Source organism: Homo sapiens, chromosome 7 (genome assembly GCF_000001405.40).
Source record: "Homo sapiens chromosome 7, GRCh38.p14 Primary Assembly".
In the NCBI taxonomy this organism is placed as follows: Eukaryota; Metazoa; Chordata; class Mammalia; order Primates; family Hominidae; genus Homo; species Homo sapiens.
The window spans coordinates 20771735-20789251 of record NC_000007.14 but is presented as its reverse complement, the minus strand read 5'-3'; the positions used below and the strand labels follow the sequence as shown (position 1 = coordinate 20789251).

The 17517-nt window shown below is 44.5% G+C and overlaps 1 protein-coding gene across 2 annotated transcripts, besides 3 other annotated features; it reads left to right on the top strand.

The window, feature by feature from the left end:
- Positions 2366 to 6973, top strand: SP8 (Sp8 transcription factor). 2 transcript variants are annotated; one of them, NM_198956.4, is made up of 3 exons: positions 2366 to 2474; positions 3209 to 3304; positions 3457 to 6973. In NM_198956.4, the coding sequence occupies exon 3, from the start codon at positions 3490 to 3492 to the stop codon at positions 4960 to 4962; it is 1473 nt and encodes a 490-aa protein (NP_945194.1). In that variant the 5' UTR covers positions 2366 to 2474; positions 3209 to 3304; positions 3457 to 3489; the 3' UTR covers positions 4963 to 6973. The 2 variants fall into 2 exon arrangements, with proteins under 2 accessions (NP_945194.1, NP_874359.2); NM_182700.6 differs by lacking the exon at positions 3209 to 3304.
- Positions 5328 to 5988: an enhancer, noted in NCBI's record as "H3K27ac hESC enhancer chr7:20822883-20823543 (GRCh37/hg19 assembly coordinates)". NCBI's record gives its function as "activates a minimal SCP1, AML or CMV promoter by ChIP-STARR-seq in primed H9 embryonic stem cells {active_cell/tissue: H9 hESC(primed)}" and the evidence as "EXISTENCE:reporter gene assay evidence [ECO:0000049][PMID:30033119]".
- Positions 11953 to 12533: an enhancer, noted in NCBI's record as "OCT4-NANOG-H3K4me1 hESC enhancer chr7:20816339-20816919 (GRCh37/hg19 assembly coordinates)". NCBI's record gives its function as "activates a minimal SCP1, AML or CMV promoter by ChIP-STARR-seq in primed H9 embryonic stem cells {active_cell/tissue: H9 hESC(primed)}" and the evidence as "EXISTENCE:reporter gene assay evidence [ECO:0000049][PMID:30033119]".
- Positions 12534 to 13116: an enhancer, noted in NCBI's record as "OCT4-NANOG-H3K4me1 hESC enhancer chr7:20815756-20816338 (GRCh37/hg19 assembly coordinates)". NCBI's record gives its function as "activates a minimal SCP1, AML or CMV promoter by ChIP-STARR-seq in primed H9 embryonic stem cells {active_cell/tissue: H9 hESC(primed)}" and the evidence as "EXISTENCE:reporter gene assay evidence [ECO:0000049][PMID:30033119]".

Genomic DNA, 17517 nt, shown 5'->3' with positions numbered 1-17517 from the left:
TTTTGAGGAAACAGTGTTAACGCCTCTGTTTACTCTCAGTATCAGCATTTAACTTTTTAATAGTCCTGCCTCACTTCCTTCCAGAAGATAGGAGGATAAAAAGATAAAATAAATAACTATTCATAGATGGGAGCCTCCCCTCAAAGCTGTTTTTCTCCACCTTTGAGGATGATGGTATTGATTAGAATTAAACCCCAAATCTGAACAACTGTATATTAGGCCCTTAAAATGAATATCATTAAAGAAGGAGACCAAAGCAATGAAGTTAATTCTCTTTTATTTGTTAAACGGAGTACCCTCCTTCCCCCACCCCTTCCTCCTTCTGGGCTGGCCTGTCACGCCTTCTCAACACGCTAAAATCATTCAGAGCGGCTTGCAGGGAGAAACACGACATTTATGGTAAGCGTCAGCCCTCAGAGAAAGAAAGCAGTTCATTAATTTACTTCACACTTACTTCAAAGTATGAGAGTATACCTTACCCCCTTAATCAATAGATATGATGTACAGTCAATATCCCCACAGCGTTTAAAAAAGGGTCAGAAATGTACACTCTCACACCACAAACATCAGTTTCAACTCTGCTCAATGAAATTTACACGATACAACTTGACTTCGAAATTTTGTAAACCCTAGGAAGATTTTTTGACATCCCTAGAAGCTGTGAAATCCTTGAGGGGGGTTCAAACACAACAGTAAAATAAAAATGTTTTCCCAGTCAAAACAAAACAGTTCGCCCAGCTAGTCACATTTTAGTTAATTCCATTTTAAAATTAGACTTCTGAGAGCACTTGTAACTGGTTAAAAATATGAACTGTTTTTATAACTTATGAATATTCAATAGGGCTACAAAGACTGGACTTTTTGCTACACTGGTGTTGTGCTTTCTGCGGTTTAAGTTCCCTTGTGGTGGCAGTGAAATTGTAATGGCATTTCTGAAGGCAACTAATAACACAAATGGCAAGCAAATGACTAAACCCCACCGAATTTGAACTAAGTGTATCTATTAACATGCACACACACTCATAGACAGATCTCTGGCCCAATCGCCATTAGACACTGACGCCTGGATAAATGTCCAAGATTTGTCAAAAGCTCCTCTCTATTCTTAGATAAATAGAACCCATATATTTCGATCAAAGTCCTGATTCTTTTCTCAGAAAGAGGCAGTGAGGTTTTCTGTGAAAATTTCTAAATTCCGTAAAACGCTCTTCAATTTCTTACCCAAAGAAAAAACGACCCTCGCTTACTCTCTTCTCTATCTAATCCTTTTGTATTGAAATTTACTCAACACCACGGGACACACACACCTCCTCCCCTAGAGTGAGACGTGCACTTCTAAAGCAGAATTCCACCTCAGGGAAAAAAAAAAAAAAAAAAAAAAAAAAAGCCACGGCATCAAAGAAACAACTCATGGGCGCGCAGGCGCGCATCCACGTCCCAACGCATCCCTAAAAATAACCCTTAGCCTCTCAACCTTTCTACTATTTCGTTGGAGAGCCGGGAAAGAAAAGGTGGGTTTAAAGATCTTCTTCAAAAATGTAGTGACGCTGTTTACCAAGTTAAGAAAAAAAAATCACTCAAGATTTTAGGTACAAGGAGCCAAAGGAAGTTGGCGACAGGGGCAGCGTTTGTGAATATTTATTCACTCAGCCTCCATCAACTTAGTCGGTTTCTCTCTTCAGCTCGACAGTCTCTCTCTTACAAACACACACTTTATTGCATTGTTCCCATTCCCCACTACCAGCTTTGGTGCGCGCACACAACACAAGCGCCCACACACACCCTTCCCTCTTCTCTGTCGCACAAATACACATGTTCACAGCCCTCCTTCTCCCCCAACACCAAACACACTCACCCCCCACCCAGTTGAGTCCCTCTTCCCTCCCTAGGTTTGTCAGTTACACTACCGTACACTCACACCCTTCCCAACACTTAACTGCTCTGTCCCTCTACCCCGCTTTGTCGCACACGCAGTTATCTTATCACACAACCCTCCCTTTTCTGCACTCTCTCCACTCCCCGCCTTTACCACACTGTCACTGTTACGGTGTCACACCCCCATCCCCCCTCCCTCCAGTCTCCGCACTGTCCTCTCCTACGCCTGGTCACACTCGCACACAGTTACATTGTTACACACACACTCATACACGCGAGCGCGCGCTTTGCGCTTTGTAACACACGCAGCCGCCCCCGCCCCCTCCGCTCCCACTCCCCCTTCCACCACGGCGGCAGGCGGCGGCGCCGATGACCTCACGGCGCGCGCGCCGCGCGGCCCGGCGAGGCCGCAGATTGGCTGGCCGCGCCTCCGCGGCACTTCAAAGCCGGAGAGGGAGCTACAATTGTGGTGGAATGGGCGGAACTGATCATTGTATTGCACACCTCTAAAAAAAACACTGCCTCTGATTTATCAATATAAAAAAGATCCTCTGAGAGGAGGAGGGCACTTTTGTGTGATGGCAACTTCACTTCTAGGGGTGAGTCTCAGGATTTTCTCTTGCTGGTTTAATTAGTTTCCTTTTATTGCCGATTGGAGGGGGTTAAAGTCGCCCCGGCCAGGCCACGGGCTATCAGTCTCTCTATTGAGAGCTTTTTTTTTTTTTCTTTAAATACAAGTGAGTTTGGAGAAAAGAAAAAGGGGGAGAAGGGGGCAGAGTCACTTTTTTTCAGCGCAGGAAAAGGTTCGAAGGGCATTTAGACAAGCCACCGCGCAGCGCCTCGCTGCTCCCTGCCCGGGAGACCTGCGTCCAGCCCATTTTACAGGCACCGATTTCGGGGGTAAAGAGAGCAAGTTTTTCCTTCTGGGCAAAGTGCAGATTCTTCCCCTAACCCTTAAAAAAAAATTCTGCAGCCCGCCTTGTCTCGCAGGTACGTTGAACTCGTCTCGTTTTTACTACTGTAGATATGCTTTTAAAAAAAGAAAGAAAGAAAAGCAGGAAGAAAGAGTGAGCCCTACAGTTTGATTTCTTTTGGCCTGGGAGAAACAACCCAGGATGGGTTTCTGGGGACCCGAACAGGTTTTTCAAAGCTCTCCGGATTACAGGGAAGCGCTCTTAAAAGCAATCCAATGGTTTTCCCCCAGGCTTCTCGGCAAAGAAAACTTCCTTCCTCTCCAATCTGGACTTTTTGCTTGTTTGTTACGAAGTGTCTGGGGCTTTGTGTGCAAGAGAGTGTTGTTTTAGGTGAGAATACTTGTCAAACTCTTCTTTAGCGTGGTGCTTGCTCCCGAATCAGACGCCGGCAGCCAAACTTGTCCCCTCCTGTAGAGTAGGAAGCGGCCGGGCGCCGGGGCTGTTGGGGGTGCCAGGTGAGTTGGTGGCGGCGCGCCGCAGCGAGAGATGGGGTGCAGTGGGGCGCTTTGGAGGCTACCGAAGGACTGATGCACATTTCTTCCTTTCCTCCCCCACCGGCCCTTTGCCCACCTCCCCTCCCCCACTCCTTCTCCTCTCCTCCTCGCAGGAAGAACCGAGGTTGGGATCGACTCCTCTGGCCATGCTTGCCGCTACCTGTAATAAGATAGGCAGCCCCAGCCCGTCTCCCTCCTCCCTCTCGGACAGCTCTTCTTCCTTCGGCAAAGGCTTCCACCCCTGGAAACGCTCCTCGTCCTCTTCTTCCGCCAGCTGCAACGTAGTGGGTTCCAGTCTCTCAAGCTTCGGCGTGTCCGGGGCCTCCAGGAACGGCGGCTCGTCCTCGGCGGCTGCGGCGGCCGCGGCAGCAGCCGCGGCTGCCGCGGCCCTGGTGTCCGACTCGTTCAGCTGCGGCGGCTCGCCTGGCTCCAGCGCCTTCTCCCTCACCTCCAGCAGCGCCGCAGCCGCCGCCGCCGCCGCCGCAGCCGCCGCCTCCAGCTCGCCCTTCGCCAACGACTACTCTGTTTTCCAGGCCCCCGGAGTTTCCGGGGGCAGCGGCGGCGGCGGCGGGGGCGGCGGCGGCGGCTCCTCCGCGCACTCGCAGGACGGCTCCCACCAGCCGGTGTTCATCTCCAAGGTGCACACCTCTGTGGACGGGCTGCAGGGCATCTACCCGCGGGTGGGCATGGCGCACCCGTACGAGTCGTGGTTTAAGCCCTCGCACCCGGGCCTGGGTGCTGCGGGCGAGGTGGGCTCGGCCGGCGCCTCCAGCTGGTGGGACGTGGGGGCCGGCTGGATCGACGTGCAGAACCCGAACAGCGCGGCTGCGCTGCCCGGCTCGCTGCACCCTGCCGCCGGGGGGCTCCAAACCTCGCTGCACTCGCCGCTCGGAGGCTACAACTCGGATTACTCGGGCCTGAGTCACTCGGCCTTCAGCAGCGGCGCCTCCTCGCACCTGCTCAGCCCCGCCGGGCAGCACCTCATGGACGGCTTCAAGCCAGTGCTACCCGGCTCCTACCCGGACTCGGCCCCGTCGCCGCTGGCCGGCGCGGGGGGCTCCATGTTGAGCGCTGGGCCTTCGGCGCCGCTGGGGGGCTCCCCGCGCTCCTCAGCTCGCCGCTACTCCGGCCGCGCCACCTGCGACTGCCCCAACTGCCAGGAGGCAGAGCGGCTGGGCCCTGCCGGGGCGAGCTTGCGGCGCAAGGGCCTGCACAGCTGCCACATCCCGGGCTGCGGCAAGGTGTACGGCAAGACTTCGCACCTCAAGGCGCACCTGCGCTGGCACACGGGCGAGCGGCCCTTCGTGTGCAACTGGCTTTTCTGCGGCAAGCGCTTCACGCGCTCCGACGAGCTGCAGCGGCACCTGCGGACCCACACCGGCGAGAAGCGCTTCGCCTGTCCAGTTTGCAACAAGCGCTTCATGCGCAGCGACCACCTCAGCAAGCACGTGAAGACGCACAGTGGCGGCGGCGGCGGCGGCGGCTCGGCGGGCTCGGGCAGCGGCGGCAAGAAGGGCAGCGACACCGACAGCGAGCACAGCGCCGCGGGCAGCCCGCCCTGCCACTCCCCAGAGCTGCTGCAGCCCCCCGAGCCCGGGCACCGCAACGGCCTAGAGTGACGCCCACCCTGCGCCCGCCCCTCTCCCCGACCTCCTCCCACCAAGTCCTCTTGGGCCCTGTCTGTCCGGACTTCAACTCCAGCCTTTCCCTATTGCATCCGACTCGCTCTCTGTCTCTTTCTGTTTCTGCCCCTCTTCCTTCTTCCTTCTGTGACTTAACTTTGTAAAGGGGATATGGACAAGTAAGTAACACGCATCGCTGTCCCGGGCCCTGGCTTTCCCTTTCCACGGGTAACGCTGCCTGAACCCGTTGCAGCCGGAACCCGCGCCTCGTCGGGCCTTTATTTCTCGTTCTCTCTTCCTTGTCCTCCCCTCCTCCACCCCCCAGGTTGTGAAGGGCGTAACTTTTAGAGGGAACGGCCACTGGAGGTAGAGCTGGACTAATCCAGTGCCTGGTAGACAGCGGGCCTCGCGCGGGCAGGAGCGGCTCGGCTGACAAGCCTGAGCGGAGCGGTGGAGAGGGAGAGGCTGGAGGCCTGGGCAGAACAGCGCCGCCCGGGCAGACGGCTGCTTGGTTCCAGAGCCGCTGTACTGAGCACCTCGGCTTCGGAGCACCCTGCCAGGCCCCTGGGCATCGCCGGACGTCCTACTCAGGCTGTCGGGGCTTGGTGGGGGTGACTTTTGGCAGCCCGAGACCCAGAGTTTGTAGAGTTTAGATCTCCCAATGTCAGTCTGCCTCTTTTTCTTTGTTCCCTGAGGTGGAACCGATGCAAGTTTCAGCAAAGGGCAGTCTTGTCGAATCGCTGCAGCAGCTTTCTTTCATCTTTATAGCATATATTTTATTTTTAAAAAAACTAGGGGGAAAATAGCAACCTTCCATTTGGTTTCCCTTCTATAATAGTTTTTTCCTCTAACGGGGAGCAATCTTTCTCTCGAAACTGCTAATATTGATCCCAAAGTTACTTTGACTGCATTAACTTAACTTACGGGGTGGGGGCGGGGGTGAGGGTAGGTGCTTTTTTCTTATGCAAAAATACTCCTTTCCGGTGAGACCAGATTAACTATCTCCATGTTTGTCCTTTTCTACCTCGTTTTTTCACCACTCCCAAACATAACCTCCCAATCTTTTTTGTTAGTCCGGCCGTCAATTGTATAGTACCAATTTCGTAAATTCTCTCAATTCATGAAGATCGTAGGGTTAAACTTTTTTGTGTGTGATTTAAACTTACAAACAAGTGAAGAAGCTATCGTTTATTTCAGACGAGGCTGTAGTTTAAATACCAAAAGAGGGAAAATAAAAAAGAACCTTTGTAAAATATATCTGAACCTAATGGTTTGTACAACTGGAGAATCGTTCTAGATTAGTTACCAATTAAATATAACTCCGCCAGTGTAAGGGTGTGAGGTGCAGTTGTCCAGGAGACGATTTTGTATAGTATTTTTCTTGTACATTACTTCCAGTAAATATTTGAAAATATATTGAAGTAAACTTGATTTTTTTTTTTTGTCACAAGAAAATATTAAGAGTTATTGTTGCAGTTCTGATGAGCTGCAGGTTTTTTGAACTCACTTCTGGAGGTGCAGAGCCACAAACGCACTTTCGGGGCCTAGTTTTGCTCGAATATGAATTTAGATAGGTATCAAGCTGTAACTAAGACAATATTTGATAAATGTTGGATGACATTTAATTTAATGGAGCATGTACTTATTTGCATTTGCTGGCAGTTCAGGCATAGTTAAAGTGAGAGTTCTCCTATATTTCATAATAAGTGGTCTGCCAAAACCCATGTATTAAATAAATTGTCCAAGTGAAACTCGACTAACTTTGGCCTTTGTGTATTTCCTGAAGGTAATATTGTTAACTGTTAATAAATACTTCTGACACTACATTTAAATGTTTGCAGATTCTGCAAACTAATTGCTCATTGTAATGTTGAAATAATTTGGATATTTCACATTGAAATGAAAAGCCTTTCTCTGGAGCATTTTAGATTTGCATTTTAAATGCATGAAATGTAATTGATTTATTTGTAATATTTTAAATGGTATAATAAACTCAGATAAAAGACTAGGCCAGTTAATTTGTATTTTTTCCCCTTTTTAAACTATGGACGTGCATTTTATCTTCAGTTAATTGTCTAATTTAAACAAAATATATCCTTGTTTGTGGTAATATTTAAATAATTACCTTTAAGATGTTAGATGGAAAGATCTATTTGGCAAAGCTGTGTTTTCTCTGTTTACCAAGATAAAGATTATAGTGTCTAAGGAATGTAATTGATTATTTACCAGTAGATTTAGCTCATAGCATCAGGATTTACTGACCTCTTAAAATTTGTACTAAGTCACAATTCAAAGAAATTTCACCATTCTCTTTCCTTCTCAGTCTCCAGAAGGAGTCAGGTTGTTGGCCATTGATTGCATTAGTATTTAAAAGGCCAAGCCTTACATTGGAAGATCAATACATCTAAAATAAAAACATGGGTTTGGGGATAACTTTTGTTGTTAGGAGGTGGAGGAGGTCAAGCTAACAAAAGCTTGTTTTTGGCATTCCAAGTCTTAGCTAAAGATTATGTAGAGGTAAATATCAGTAGTAGATTCCTGTTGAAATGAGTTATCTGTTCTTTTAAAGTCTCTAAACAGCCACCAAAGAAAAGGAAGGTTAAACCTTAATCTATTTACTAGGCTATTGTTCATAGGTGTCAATGATGCCAATAAAAAATACTGTCTTGTTATGTCTAAGTGCATTTAGCAATGGGTGTTCCTGAGCCATACTTTGAAACATAAAATACTCTAAATGTTGATTGATGTTATATCACTATTTCACTATTAGATTAATATTATTATTTTGAATCAAATTGAATAAAAAGTTAGTGTGTTTGGATTCTTACAAGTTTAGCTTCTTTATTTCTGTTTGCAATCTCCCCACCCTAAGTATAGTCTTGGTATACATCTTGAACTGAAAAATTTTCCATTGAAATCTATATATGGTAATTATAATGCATAGAAGCAAGTGAAAATACAAAGTGCTATGAGCACTGTAAATTGAGAGGAAAAAGCAATTAGGGATAAAAGATGTTTTAGAATAATATAGCTCGTGTCCAAGTAGGTGACACCTTTAATCCTGCTGTCTATGCAGGTATTTGAGGCCTCCAGTCTCTATGGTTCTAGACAAACAAGTTAACTCTGATTCTTTGGTATACTATAGTTCTAAATAATGGATTTTAAAAGTAAAATAGTTTCTTTCTGTCACTTTCTTCCTAGGATAACAAGCAGAACACAGTTTAAGTGTTGTTTCTTTTTTATTGAAAGTTGCAATGCTGAGGGATTCGGAAAGAGCGGTTCTGAAGGAGTTAAATGTAGTGGCAGGTAAGAGGAAAGCTGCTTGGTACATTTATAATATCAGTTGCATTACATGCAGAATCAACATTGATTTAAGAGGTGGGTTATGACAAGGAGAAATATTGTCTGGAAGAAGATTTCTTTGGGGTGATTGAAGGGGGACATTTTTTCTGCTGTACAGATGTGCAAACTTTCCCTTTCTTCCTTCTGGCTCCTCACCCTTCTAGCTTTGCTTGGTTTGTTTTGGTGGTTATGGAACAGTATTTCTAGCTTAATTTTCTGCAGGGTGGGCAGGGTTCTTTTGGGAAAACAGAAGATGAGGTACCAAATTGTGATTTTTTTTTTTTTTTTGTTCCTGTTTTGTCCCTGATAAAGCACTTCCTGGCAGTAGCTGGAGGCTCACTCAAGTGAAGTCAAAGGCCAGGTCTCACTTTGAACCAAGGGACAAGCTTCCAGTCTGGCAGATCAAGATAGAGTTAAACTAGTTGTTGACCCAGAAGTCAGGCCAGCATATATCAGCCCACCCTCCAGAGTCTGGAAAGGGCTGCCAATCCAACCATTTCCATTTCCTACCTCATCTCTTCTACAAACTTGAATGTTTCTTCCCTATCCTGCTTTCTCCTTTTTTGGCTCCTTCCTTCCTCACCTTCTCTCTTTGTGGATGATCTCTTTCACTGAGATATGTGTAACTGTGATTTGTTGAGGCTGGATTACCAACTGAAATATTTTATGTAAGAAACTTAATTTAAACCAATATGATGACTTCCTCTCAGAACAACTGATGCTGGAAAAAGCTCCTGAATGGGTTTGCCTTCCTTCCGCCCTGCTCCTACCGGAATCTTGGCATAACTTCTCAACTGGGCTTCCTTTGGTTAGAGAATACTGAAATTAAAATTTAAAGACAAGCAGGTGATGAGACTGGACTCCTAAGTAGGCAGATCGATAATTTTGCTATCATTTTCATCTTCATGGATCTTTTGGTGAGGTTATTAAATGGAATGCTACAGAAGGCTTGTAGAGGAATTTTTTTAAAAATAAATATTGTAGAGGATTGCTCAAAGGTCAGATGATCTTTTTGGCTGATAAATTAAGGCAGAAAAAGGGGGAAAAAAGTGTGGATTTGATTATTATCTGTTTGCTAAGATGGTAAAGATAAATATTATCATGAAGAATTTAAGAATTTTGCTCAGTGTTTTGTACAAACAGCCTCAAAAAGGGATTGATTTGATGCAGGTATTTTGAATAAACTGTGGTTGTTCATTTTACTACTGATTTTTGCTGCTTCTGTCCAAACAGGCATTATTTCTCTTTACACTCCTAAGAAAAACCCAGATATTACCAACATCTTTATCCTTCTCTCTCTTTTTAAAAGTATGGTTTCTGCAGTTGCTTCCTTCCTTCCTTTCTTCCTCCTTCTCTCCCTCCCAATCTCCCTCCTTTTTAAAAAATGGCGCAGAAGATCAATTCTGTGCCTGTATTTCAAGAAAATGGTGTTAAAGTAAGGAATCGAAATATAGTAATGCTGTACCCATTTTAAAGTCAGGGCTTTGGTTTTGGGTGGCATCTTTTGAAGACTGCTCAATATAAATAGTTGATGTTATTTTAAAAATAAGATTCAGAATTTTCTCCCTGTTTATTCCCTGCTTCCGGATTAAAGGAAAGCCGCTAATTCCTTGCCATCCTGGACCCTAGCCGCTGCGGTTTAAGGGGATGCGCGTCAGTGGCCATGTCTTTAGATTCGCTGCTCTCCCTGTGAGCAGAAATGTTGATTTGCTGCAGCGGCGGGGAGGGGGGATCTATTTTTCCCTAGTCCCTCGGCGCATGTTTAATTTAATTTAATTTTCTGCGGAGTCTCTTGGCGGTGAGGAAAGCAGCCTTATACATTTTGCTTTGGTTCCTAACGAACAGTGGGAGAGCTCTAGGGACAGCGGGGAGGGCTTGAGGTGACCTAGAACTCGGAATAAAGCCCCGCTACAAGCTGTCGCTTTTTCCTGGTATTCTAGTACCGTTTTTGAAAGTCCATCTACCGGAAATGTTGCTTTTTTTTTTTTTTTTTTTTTTTGAGATGGAGTTTCGCTCTTGTCTAGGCTGGAGTGCAACAGCGCAATTTCGGCTCACTGCAACCTCCGCCTTCCGGGTTCAAGCGATTCTCCTGCCTCAGCCTCCCCTGTAGCTGGGATTACAGGCGACCGCCACCACGCCCGGCTAATTGTGCATTTTCAGTAGAGACCGGTTTCACCATGTTGGCCTGGTCTCGAACTCCTGACTTCAGGTGATCCGCCAGCCTCGGCCTCTTAAAGTGCTGGGATTACCGGCGTGAGCCACCGCGCCCGGCCTGGGGCTGCCGCTTTTAAAAAGCCCATTCCTCAACTTTGCTTCTCAGGCACCAATTTCTTGCTGCGCGGGAGGAAACGCTGGCAGCGACCTCTGCTTCTCTCGCAGGGCGCTGAGCCGAGGTCCGGCCTGCCCAAAGTTCCCTTCGTTCTCTTTTCGAATGAATTCTGCGAGAGGTTTTGAGCCTGGGAGGATTTCCCTCCCTTTCTAAACGCTACCCTCCGCTTTCCTCTTCCCAGCTCCTCGAAGTGCCCAGTACATTGAGAAAGACCCCGGGGCCCTCCCGGGGAGGGTTCCGAACTGGCGATCCGCACGGTCCGCTTGCACGTAGCAGCGAAGAGTGAGGTGGTGGTCTGGGGTCTCCCCGCGAGCCCTGGCCCCGGCCCGGGCCCGCCGCTCCCCTCGGGCTGCGGGCCGGAGCAGCCCATCGCCGCGCCCACCGCACACAAAGGCACCGCGGCCGCCTCCGCCCGCTGCACGGACAGCGAGCGCCACCCTGTGCCCTGCTCCCGTTCTGCAGCGCGCTCAGCGCGGGCAATGCCGGCCAGACCCGCCCCGCCAGTCCCGGGCCTCTGACCTTGGGCAAACCCACGGTGGGAATGCGCGGGGAGCCTCCCCCCGCCCCGCTCGCCTGTGGGCTCTCAAAAGACACTCGGGCCGGACGGGGTGAGGGATTCCCCTGCCTTCGCTTCCCTCCCTCGCTTGCTCTGTAGTTTTCCCGCACCAGCCCGCTGCCCTGCGCCATCCTAGGGCCTCGGAGCCCGGGGAATCTGTCCCATCCTGTCACGGGGTGCCGCGCTTGATCTTTCTGCCCGTGCCACCGGAGGCTGCTGCGGCGTGGACAGACTCAGATTCTTCTTCCTGAACTTGTTCAGCTTTCTCTCTGTCCTGGCCCACGACTGCCTGCCTTTCTTCACCTCCTGTGCTCTTTTCTTGGCCAAACTGCTTTGTGTTCACTCGCACCCGCCTCCTCTCCCCAGCGACGTCAAAGTGCAGCGTCCTCCATAGGTGGCAAGATTTATTCTTGTCATTTTATCATGGGGTTGGCAGACTCGACGAGTGAAGGAACTTGCCCACATTTCCCCACACTGTTATCATAAAGAAGGCGCAATTAAGTGTGACTGGCTGTGAAAACTCTGCGCTTTTTAGTTTCAGGATATCAAAAAAGTTTAGCTACCCTGGGACTAACAGAAAAAGTGATGGATAGATAGGTGGATGGACACAGATGTAGAATCACTGAACCTGTTGAACAGAACTCTACTGCATTGCACCCAAAACCCAACAACCTCTCATGGGCTTCCTTCCCAATGCTCTTCTCTCCCGACTCTGGGCCTCTGGGTCTTTGGGGACTGCTACCAACATTCTGAAGGTCCCTATTCTGGTGACATCTGAAAGGAGATCAAGATAGATCAACCCTTCGGAGAAGAGCGTCATGCTCCGCTTAAAGGTCTTTATTTGGAGAATGTACCTGCCTCTCCCCGGGCTGCCTGAGGAAAGGAGCTGGCTCCTGGTAAACCTTTCCCCAGCCCCACCCCCTGACTCTTTTAGGCGCCTCTAGGTCTTAGGCCTTCTGGTCTTGGAAGTCATCGCACAGGTTCGGATCTGTGGGTTCCACTTTGTATTCTCGAGACATGCCAAGGATTAAACTTGGCTTTTATGGGTGGTTAGATACGCACTATGTACATGCATTTAAGGCATCCTGTGATGAGGCTGCAGCATAAATCTTCTCCCGCACTTATATTGAAAGAGCTCTCGGAGACGCACACCTGCGCGTGACAGGGCTCCAGTCATGTCCCCTCGTGGCTAAATCCACGGGCTCCACTGACCCCAATCCCCCACAGTGGGGAAGGAAGGAGGGCCGCCTATCTTCGCTTGCAAGCCCCTGCAGCCGCCGGTAGAAGCAATCTGGCTTCCCGGAGCTCCAGGATATAATTGACACGTCCACCTCCGGAGCCGCCACCACTCTCCTCCCTCAAGCCAGCCGGCGATGTGAGCCCACACCCCCACCCCCTCTCTCCGGGGTCCGGAAAGCTGGGAAGCGCTGGAATGCCGCGTTCTCTCACCCTATTGTGCCTAGGTGTTGCAAACCACTGGAGGACAGAGCTTCGCGCTTTGATCTCATGTCCCAGTCATTCTTTAGCACAGAGGGGTGAGTTTAAATTAAATTTCTTTCTCTGCTGATAAGTCGTAATGGGCCTCAGAAGGTGAATAATTATGCAGTAACATTTCATGGGTTGTTGGAGTGGGAATTCCCACTGCGCTGTCATCAAGAACAGAATTTCCCTCGTACGCTCAATGCTAAAAGAAGCTTTGCAAGTAAGCCACAAGTGTCTTTCAAATCTCGATGCAGATGATCTAGTCCTTCCCTACTCACCTTTCTTGCCCCTACAAATCTGTGTCGTCCTTTATTTTTTCATTCGTAGTTTATAAGTGGTTTACGAATACTTTTAAAATCAGTGCTAAAGGATCTTATATTTGAGGTAAAAAAAATACTTAGCTTTGATGATTATGCATTTCTATCAAGACAAAGCACACACTGATGAAAGCTGGGGCCGCATTTTCCTGGGAAAAGGCAGATGAGCCACCTGAGATTTATGTCCAAATACCTGGATTTAGTCTGGCCAACTATCTTCACTTCTTTTAGTGAAATAGTGCTTTTTGGTTTGATTCCTGAGGAGAGTCCGGACCCGAAGTTGCTGCAGGGATAAGATTTGATCATTAGTGTTCTGAAGGTATCTAGTTGCAGTTGAGAAATTGACTTTCCATGCAGGAAGGTTAAAAGGCAAAATGCCTTGGCTGCTTCACTCAAAATAGCCACCTGCCTATTAGAAAATGTGGACTTAATTCTTGGAGATATCAATTTATATTTAATTTCCCTCCAACCTAGATAAAAAAAACAGCATCAACAGTTTGGATATTGTAAATGGGTCATGACATTTTGATACTCAAAAGAAAATCAGACCCTTAAAGAACTCTCTAAAATTGTAATTTAAAAGCACAATGGACTCTTTATTGTTTTGTTTTTTTAAAAAATCCTCTATACCCCCATTCACTTTAGTGCTTCATCGCATAGCATTTTCATTGTTTACTTTTTGTCCCTTTACATGTCTTCCTTTAAATGAATTGAGCTCCCTCAAGCTTTAAGATTTCCAAATCAACACACAGAAACTGGAGCCTGCTTACCAAGTTTTCACTCCTCTCTTGGCAACTAATTTGAAAGGGCTCAAACAATAAGTTGATTTACATTATGCTCATTTTACCCTGAAATCTGTGCGAATGTTGAAAAACCCTTAATCTTTCACCTTGGGTTATCTTTACATCTTTGGGGGAACCAATCCTTCCAGCTTTAAGTTTTTTAGCTACTCCATTTTAAGCGCTGAAATAGAAGAAAGAAAGTAGATCTTTTTCTTTTTTCCCCTAAAGTTCAAGTGATTGTCTAGTTCAACTGAAAATAAAGGATTTGTACTGCCCAATTTTGCACCCAATTTAATGTCCCTAATTATGTGGCACCCTATCATCAGGTTTCCATCATTTCAGGAAGTTTTGTGCTCATTCTTGTACACTGATCAATGCTTCATTTTTCTCTTACATGCCTATCTCTTATGATTATTATTTTTTTTCTAAGCAGGTCTTTCCCCTTTCAATTTAACAAACAATGGCCTTATTGCAGGGAGGTGGGGAGGGGAGCTAGTACCAGGTGGAAATGTGTTTAAAAGACATTCACGTTATTTAGCTTTAAAAATATTATTGAGTTATATATTCTCTTTAACAGAATTTACACAGACTTTTTCTATAGATAAATGAAACTTTTATTTAGGGCAAAATATTTTTTATAACATTAAATTATATTTCTCCCAAAACTTTAAGAAAAGAAAGTTTTTATAGATGACAATTCAGTGGCTTTTTACTATGAGGCAAAGTAACTTTTGCTGTTTCTCCAGTAAATAACTATTTGACTTAAAACTGCAGTGGTTAAGTTTAAGGTCCATATACATTATACTTCCTGTGTCCTCAGTATTGACATATTTTAGTGAGTTTCACAATTGAATGTTGTCATAGCAATGAACAGAGATCATTAAAACAACCTCGTAAATATTTTGGCTACAAATACTGTATAGTTTTCAGTAGAAAGCATATGATATATTAATAATTCATTTCATATGTAATTATTAAATTTGAAATGCATTGCTTAGTGATGTGTTCACTAAGTGTTTTAGTATGTATATCCAGGAAAATCAGATTTGGTGAACTTTTCATTCTTGAAGTTCTGCTTGTTGTTTTGTAGAGAAAATATTACTTTCACAATAGAGGTATAATAGATCCCTGCTGTAAAGAAATAGTATTAATAATTTATGTCCATGAAGGGGTTTGGAACTACTTTTATTATTTTATGCTGCAAAAGCAGTGGCATATTCTTTTTCCCTTCAGTTTTTAAGTAAACTTTTTATTTTGGAATAATTTTAGATTTACCGAAAAGTTGTAAAAATAATATAGAGATTTCCTGTGGTTTTCCTATTGTTAACATCTTACATTATGATGGTATGCTTGTCAAATGTAAGAAATCAATGTTGATATAGTTGAGTTTTTTTAATGAAGAAATAAAGGCAAAAAAAAAATGCATCACCTATCAGTCAGTGGTAGGTTGTAGTTTAGAAAACTGCTGACCATTTTTTTTTTCAGCTTCTTATGATCACCTGGGATTTGCCTCCAAGACAGACTATGTACTAAATTATTAAGTTAAGTAGAAAGCTTTTCTTCACAGATATGTCTTTAAGATATAGTTTCTTATAATGAAGTTTTGTTTCTTTCATGGTTAACTAAAATCTAAGAAAACATATTTAGTTTCATTTTGCATTTTTATTTTGTGTATGGAAGCATCAGATTAAATTTTAAATGGTCCATATTTTCACTTCAAATTATCCAAAATAGTAATATTCTATTTGTCACTTATACCTATTTTTTATCCTATAATTTAAAATGACTTAATCATTATTATTTTCTTTAATGTAGTTACTACAAAAATATAAATAAATAATCTAATTAAATTAATTTCCCCCCGTATTTTAAAACTTAAACTTTAGGATCACTTTTGCTAAGAAACTGAGTTTGTCAGAGTATAGAAACCTTTAAAACTTGCCAGGCGCAGTGGCTCACACCTGTAATCCCAGCAGTCTGGGAGGCTGAGGTGGGTGGATCGCTTGAGGTCAGGAGTTCAAGACCAGCCTGGCCAAATGGTGAAACCTCTATCTACTAAAAATACAAAAATTAGCCAGGCGTAGTGGCACGTGCCTGTAGTCTCAGCTACTCAGGAGGCTGAGGCAGGAGAATCCTTGAACCCAGGAGGCGGAGGTTGCAGTGAGCCAAGATCACACCACTGCACTCCAGCCTAGGCGACAGAGCGAGACTCTTTTAAAACTCAATAGTTTTGTTGTCAAGTTTAGATAAATGTATCTTCTATACTCCATGGAGTAATATATTTGCATATATTTTTATCTTATTTAAGTAAGATTGTAAGGCATTTCATCAAAAAAGAAAATATTCTTTATTTAAAATACATTCTCACTATACCTGGCATTGCCAGATAAAATACAGGATATTCAGTAAAATTTGAATTTCAAATAAACAATAAATCATTTTTTAATATAAATATGCTTCATGCAATATTTGAGTCATATTATTCTAAACATGATTAGTTGGTTTTTTAAAATCCAAATTTAACTAAACATGCTGATTTTTCATTTTTGCTTCTTTTTAAAAAATAAATTTTACGTATCTATAAGGACAAACCTAAAAAAAAAAAGGATTATGTAAAAACAAAGTAGCCTGTGACTGTTCACGAAAGCTTGTAGTAGCATTCTGTACTATTTTAAAAGGGGCATACAGGACATAAAGAGGGTTTACTTGTTATAATACAGGACATTAAGATTTGCTTGTTACCTGGAGGGTGAAAATATAAATTTTATTTTCCTATTATTCTTTTGCTTTTCTTTTTTTTTTCAACTCATTTGGCTTCATTCTGGACTATCCTTATACATTTAGAACACTAGTACTACTCTACCTTATGAAAAACCTACATTTACCTAGCTTCCAAGAAAAAAATGTTATGCCGATGATTGCTGATCAACCTCTCCACTTTCTTTCTAATATTAATGCTGTAAAAAAGGAGATATCTAAAAAAAAATCTCATATCTGTTTATTATATTTTTGCAGTTGAGACTCTATAATTAAGTTTTGCTCTTACAAATTCTGTTCCTCAGGTACTTTACAGCCACCCCCTAGTTGAATCGCTCTCACTTAACTTGTACAAAATGTGGAATCCTGTATTTCTGGAAGTCATATATAAGTTGTAACACTAGTACTTATGTATCAAATTTATTTACTAAGTATTCCATAAATTGTAGCCAAATAATCAGAAGCTAAGAAGTTCTCTGTTGCAGGAGAGTTTCTTTTTTTTCCTGTTGAAGTATGCTTAGGAAATAAAGTAATAACAGTCATTTTTTCATGCCATTTTCCTCAAGAAACAAGCTATTGTATTTATGTAACAGTTTGTTTTCTGGTTCATTTATGCTATTAGTTTAATTTTTCTAATAGTTTTCTATCTCTTGATAATTATTGTGATTATGCCCAGAAGTAATGAGTAAAAGTCTGTATAGCGTATACAGAATACAGGCTAGTAAGGATGAGAGGGAGAGTGACCCTGGCATCTAAGGTTCCTCTATCTTGCCTTCATATACCTTATACAGAATAAGTGAAAACAATATTAACAGCCCATGTATACCAATCAGATAAATCCTTAAAAACAATACAGGGAATTTTTTTACCCATAAACAGAAGATGTATCAAGGATCCAGGCTCAAAGGACCTCTACTCTTTAGATTTTGCTTTTACCAGGTGATATAGCTATTACCATGAGGGTTCAGGAGAAACTGGAAAGTGGAA